We start from the raw sequence: 6,830 nt of genomic DNA, 5'->3' as shown, positions 1-6,830 counted from the left end.
AAAGAGGGTCATGCCACAACTTAACCTTTGTAATGTTCTTACACCTTTCTTCTAAGTTTGAGATTGTTTCAAAATTAAAAATTCTAAGATAGCTCCCAGTGGCTGCATTATTTCCATAATGCCTTGGCTGATGTGTTGGGACCTCTGTAATGAGATACCACCCTCCCAGTGTTGTCTCATTCCCATGGTGCCCCTGGCACGCTTTACTGATCCAGGAGAGGATCTCTCCATTCATGTTTCTGGCTTCTTTCTGCAGTCAAAAATACCCCATCACCCCTCTGCCCATCACCGGCTGATTTTTAGCCCAAATCCAAGATCAATTTCACCTTCTTGTTCAGGCAGCCCTCCCATCACAACAGCCCTCTTGGCTTCTCTTTTCTGGTTAGTTGGACTTAGCTTCCAACACCTAATTTAGCATTTCACTGTACAGTCTTTTGCCTGCCAATGCAAATGTACACGTTGGGAAGCAGAGCTCATTCCAGATACCTTAGCGAACACCTTCCTCATACTACGTGATCAATAAACACCTACTCACTGACTGATCACTGCTTGATTGGATCCTCACTGTTAGGAAATAAAAACCTATTTACAATTCATTTCTGTGTGAAAAACTCAGCACTTTATTAATACAAAGGACTTCTCCTCCCAGCCTTGCCTGACAATTTAAAACATGTGGCAATGAAGGCTAAAGAGCCAACTTTCTCAAGCCTAAGAAAACCTCAGTTGTAGCTGCTGAAATGTTCTCAAACTATTAGCTCTGTGTCCATCTGAGACATTTTGCATCTTTCAATTCTCCTTTCTCATTGGCTGAATCCTCGTTACTATTTGCATGGTAAAGTGTGTTCAGCAAATAATCTGAGAAGTAGTAGAACTAGAGAATTCAGTCCACATGCTGGATTCCTCCAGGAATATTAGACCCAGCTGTTTGCCACGCAACAGACAAACACACACACTCACACCTGCTTCCTTGTAAAGACTGTGGTCTTTTTTAAGATACCTTGTCTCTAGGATAAAAATCATCTTTTGGAAAACAAATCGAGAGAATACAGGTGGGGTGGTCTATGAGGGGTAGAAGTGTCTCTAAAGTCTGAAACACCTGTGCCTTCTTTCTATGGGGCAATAATTGTGTAATTCTATGTCTGGATGCATTTCTGCAGATGTGATTTTGCATTTTGTGCCTTGAAACTATGATATGAAGACAGGGAAAGTCTGGCACTTAGTGTGTGTCTCTGTTTTTTGTGGATGTACTTGCTCAACTCAATTTTGGAAATATGGCCTTTGGTGTCTCATTTTTGTATGATTGGTACATAATGATACTCATCAGTAGCTTATTGCTATGTAATCAAAACTACTCAAGATTTCAATGCTGCACTAATATTAACTTCAACCATTTACTATTTTAATGAAGTGAGTGTTGATATAGACATTTGCATACTTATTTGTCAATACAAACAGATTTGATGTCGAGTAATAAGGTCATTAAAAGTAATCACATATTTACATTTTTAATCCCCATCTCCCTCCACCCCTTGCTCCAATTCCTCTCCCCTTTACCACTGCACTAAATAAATTAACGAGGTAGCATCGAAACCACAGCATAGGACCACTGTGGTCTTTTCCATTATAGAATCTGTCACTGTCACTGGAGAACCTGCTGGTAGGTGCCAACCATACAGAGGAAGGTCACTTTCTGTAGTAAGATTACTGCAAGATGCTGGGAGGCCACAGGGCTGAGCTGTGATTTGTTTCAAGAGAACTTGAGGTGGGTTTACTGCATTTGGTAATCCCAGATGAGACCAAACCCAAAATGAAACTGACAACGGCCTTTACTTGGGTTAAGGCTAAATCTCAAGCTACATGTATGCATGCCACAGCCAGCTCCTGGACAGTCATGTTGCATTCCTTCTCCTTCTCACTATCTAGACAGCCCAAATCTAGGGAATGGAGGTATGGTTTTGGGAGATAGAACAAACTGTGGCATGTAGAGAGGAGGAAGGAAGAAGCTGGAACCACTTTCTCGAAGCTGAGTGTATTGGTCCATTTTCACAGTGCTATAAGGAAATAACTGAGACTGGGTAATTTATAAAGAAAAGAGGTTTAATTGGCTCACAGTTCCACATGGCTGGGGAGGCCTCAGGAAACTTATAATCATGGTGAAAGGCAAAGGGGAAGCAGGGACCTCTTCACAAGGTGGCAGGAGAGAGAAGTGAGAGTGAAGAGGGAAGAGCCCCTTATAAAACCATCAGATCTTGTGAGAACTTACCCACTATCAGGAGAACAGCATGGGGGGAACCGCCCCCATGATCCAATCACTTCCCACCAGGTATCTCCCTTGACACGTGGGGATTACAATTCCAGATGGGATTTGGGTGGGTACAGGAAGTGAAACCATATCACTGAGATGCAGCATGTGAGAGCATAAAGAGATCTTGGAGATTCATTGCCTGAAACTCTAATTTTACACATAAACATCTAGAGGTTCAAAGGGCAACTGATTTTCCTGGGGTTGCATAGACATTCTGGATTCTTCCTCAAAAGCCCTTTTCAGAATAGTCTTTTCTCAAACTAACACAAGGGACTCAGCCATTTGTCAGAAATAGGATCAGTTGTCCAAAGTCATTGCATGATATTAGGTTGGTGCAAAAGTAATTGTGGTTTTTGCCATTAAAAGTAATGGCAAAATGGCAATTACTTTTGAACTGATCTAATATATTCTACTCTGACAAGCATCCATTCCCCCTGCTCTCCCTATCCTATCACTCTTAAATAATAGCTATAGGGAGCTATCCCTTCTACAATGGATCCAGTCTTGGTAGGACAATCAGTGTACCTGCCCTTCCTTCGCCAAAGATGGCTTGTAACCCAAGGCCAATAAATTCTTGGAATGCTTGTCCTAAGCCCTAACAGACTGAAAAGGTTTGGAACTAATTTATCCCAAGGTAACTGCTTTGGTAGAGACTGTCTCTTAGGTCCTGCTACCTGGAACCCAGGAACTGATCTGTCTATTTCTGAAGCCTGGATCTTTTTCTGTCTTTGATTCTTGGAGTTACCCTATAATCTATGGCAGATGCTGTGAGTGGGGTAACACAGTGGTTCTGACCTGAGGCAATTTCCCCCTCCCCACCCAGGAGACATTTGGCAATATCTGGAGACATTTTTGGTTGTTACCACCAGGGGAGGGATGCTACTGGCATCTATTTCGTGGAGGCCAGGAATGCTACTAAATATCCTACATTATACTGAACAGCCTCCCCCCACCCTCCATTAAAGAATTACCTGGCCCAAAATATCCCTAGTGCTAAGATTGAGAAACTCTGAGTGAACCCAATGCCCATCTCCAATCCCCTCTTTTTTATGTTCTTCCCTATAGAGACTAAAAAATATTCACTTTCCCAGCCTCTCTTGCACTAAGGATCAGGTGTCCAGATGATACCATTCTGATCAGAGAGACTAAAGGAGAAATTTGCTTGCCTGATAAAAGAGACAGAAACAGCTATTCCTTCCCCTTCCTCCTGACTTGCAGGTTGATGTAGCTTGGTGCTCTGGCAGCCATTTTGTGGCCATGAGACAAAAGCCAATAGAATCACAGGCACTCAGTTCTTACACTGTTCAGCCATTAAAGCAAACCCAGTGACAATCTCCTTTCAGGATCCTTGCTGTTGAAGAAAATTAAACCCTCATTTGTTTAAGTCACTTATAGTGAAATACTCCTTCCCTTGCATCTGAGAGCATTCCAACATGTTCTCCTCCCAATAAACTCTTTCTCTGCTTATGTTAGCTAGAGTTCATTTCTGTATTTTTGCAAGAAAAGAACTCTACCTGATAAAGCACACTAAATGTGAGTTTTGTGAACTATGTATTGCAGCCAGAATTGAGGATTTCTCTCTCTGATTATTCCTGATGCTGACTGGAATTTTGGCTACATATAGCAAGCCACTGTGGCCAACTCTTTGCTACTGTTCAGCAATATTCTTGGATCTGTGCTTTGTGATAAGATTGGTGATAAAAATTACTTTCCGCATGTTTTCTGCCTCTTCACAGTAGGTCAGAAAAGTCCTTCGAGCTAGAGTCAACTAGACATGTGTTCAGGAAAGGCCTTTTCAAGTTGGGAGCAGGACAGGGAGCTGAAGAACTGCTATTTTACGCTCCTCTATAACGTGACCACAAGGACTCAAAGCAGCTATTGCAGTAGGAAGAGGCCTGCGTACTTGGGTAAAGTAGACAAAGCAGGGAAAGAAAGATCTACCCTCCTCCGTGGGCCCATCCCACTCCTCACACAGCTGGGGGCTGTGGATGAAGGCAATGCCAGTGATCATTCTCTGACCATGGCTTAATTGCTGCTGGACCCGAGTCGTTATTGCTGGTTTGTGTGCAGAAATCAGAGAGGTGGAAGCAGCTCTCAAATCTGATTCAGACATGAACTGTCGCTGTCCCCTCCTGCCCCATGGAAGCTTAGCCCTGCCATAGTGCAGGGGGCCTCCTGCTACAGGCCCCCCACCCGCAGATCTGCCCATCAGAGCAGGGTTGGCTCTGCCCTTGTGCCTCACTCTCAGCATTGCTTCTTTTAGTTTATTTTCTCTGAAAACTTGCTCAGGGGGTCTGGGGGCTTAACCATGATTGGTTCCGTGTTTTCTCTTGGTCAGGGTGAAAAAGTGTGGTAATTCCTTGGAGTGGAATTTTTTTATGTGTGTGGGGGGCAGTATATGTGTAGTGTTTAAGAACACAGATTCTAAAATTTCATTGCCTGAGTTCAAATGGTGATTTGTCCTTTAATAATAATGATGATGAAAATGATAGCACCAATAGTAGCAGCAGAAGCAGCAGGTAATATTAATGAGGGTTGACTACATCCAATATTATTCTAAATGTGTTACATATATTATCATACTTCGTAGCTGTTTGACTTCTGCCAAGCTCCTTAACATCTTTAAGCTTCAAGTTACTCAGACATAAAATGAGGATAATAACAGGACCCAATTTATTAGATTGTCGTGAGGACTAAAATAAATAACACAGCAGAATGGTTGACATCCAGTGAGTAGTTACGCAATGTTAGCTTCTAAGATTCCAGGTGATAGGTCAGTTGAACACTACCTGATACTTATATTTTAAAAATACATTTTAAAGCAAACTATTGGCTTATTTTGACCATTTATTTTGAAGAGATCATCATAAACTAAACTCTGGAGCATCTTTTCAGCACATGAATCACCAACTAGCACAGCATGGATGCAAAACCAAGACTCAAATATTGGAGTTCAGTGAAGACTTCTAGCTTCCTTCTTGTTTTGGGAAGACAAGGCCAGTAAAGCTTGTCTTTGAGGCTGGATGGCTGGATTTATAGGGTTGATCTGAGTGTTTGAGGGTTCATGGTTGAATATTTTCTTCCTTTGCTTGCTAGAGCATGCTTATAATTAATTATTTAAAAACTATGTGGCATGGTGGCTCATGCCTGTAATCCCAGCACTTTGGGTGGCTGATGCTGGTGGATCACCTGAGGTCAGGAGTTTGAGACCAGTCTGGCGAACATGGCGAAACCCCGTCTCTACTAAACATACAGAAAATTAGCCAGGCATGGTGGCGGATGCCTGTAATCCCAGCTACTCAGGAGGCTGAGGCAGAAAAATCGCTTGAACCTGGGAGGCAGGGGTTGCAGTGAGCCGAGATTGCACCACTGCACTCTAGCCTGGGCAACAAGAGTGAAACTCTGTCTCAAAAAAACAAAAACAAAAACAAAAACAAAACAAAAACAAACTACTCAGCAAAAGCCCCCATTCCAAGGATTTGCTGTAGTTAAAATGGGAGGGAAAGTGGGCTGTTATGCTAAGATGAGGTGACATAAATGATAATGATGACAATGAAAAATTATAATAAAAGATACAAACGCTGGGTTATTACGGAGTGTCAAGCACCACCCTCTGCATCTCATGAAGTCATACTTCCCTGTGAGAAAGACATTGTCTCAGTCCATTTGTTTTGCTATAATGGAGTATGTGAGGCTGGGTACTTTATAAAGAAAAGGGGTTTATTTGGCTCACCGTTCTGCAGGCTGTACAAGATTCATGGTGTTGGTACCTGCTCAACCTCTGGTAAGGGCCTCAGGCTGCTTCTACTCATGGCAGAAGGTGGAGAGGAGCTGGTGTGTGCACAGACAACATGGAAAGAGAGGCAAGAGAGAGAGGGGAGGGGGCAGGCTCTTTTTAACAAGCAGCTCTAGTAGGAACTAATAAAGTGAGAGCTCACTCATTACTGCAAGGACATCACCAAGCCATTCATGAGGGATCCGCCCCCATGGCCCAAACACCTCCCATTAGGTCCTGCCTACAGCACTGGGGATCAGGTTTCAACATGAGATTTGGAGGGGACAAGCAAAGCAAATGATAGCAGAGCAAATGAGTATCCTCATTATACTCAGGAGGAGTAAATGACTTAAGCAAGGACTCAGCTAGAAATTGGCAGAGCTGGGATTTGGACCTAAGTCACCTCCAAGTCTAGTTTGCATAAGCACCTTGCTGTAGTGACTGCCATAAGGCAGGCACAGTATCCTGCAGCTACTCCTTGCAACCCACTTGTCCAAGATGGATGAGGCTCCGTGGACCTCTGGAATGCTGGCTTGGGTGGAACAGAGAGCTCCCTGTCTGACCTCCTTTGGGCAGGAACTGACCTCTGAGAAGCCCCAATCAAGGATTTGCCAATGCAGAAGGGGGGCACACTCATCTCCGAAAACCAGGGGGTGATTCTCATCTGATGCTAGCACAGAATAGCAACCTGGGAAAACTCTGTCCTGTTTTCCTACAACTTTGTAGAAAAAGCTTCCAGGGTCCCCCCTG

At 43.4% G+C, this 6,830-nt stretch overlaps 1 annotated feature.

Moving 5' to 3' along the window:
- Positions 3,819 to 4,318: an enhancer, noted in NCBI's record as "H3K27ac hESC enhancer chr3:70926235-70926734 (GRCh37/hg19 assembly coordinates)". NCBI's record gives its function as "activates a minimal SCP1, AML or CMV promoter by ChIP-STARR-seq in primed H9 embryonic stem cells {active_cell/tissue: H9 hESC(primed)}" and the evidence as "EXISTENCE:reporter gene assay evidence [ECO:0000049][PMID:30033119]".

The sequence above is a fragment of the Homo sapiens genome, chromosome 3 (genome assembly GCF_000001405.40).
Source record: "Homo sapiens chromosome 3, GRCh38.p14 Primary Assembly".
Taxonomy (NCBI): Eukaryota; Metazoa; Chordata; class Mammalia; order Primates; family Hominidae; genus Homo; species Homo sapiens.
The sequence above is the reverse complement of the archived record's forward strand: the minus strand, read 5'-3'. Positions and strand labels throughout refer to the sequence as shown.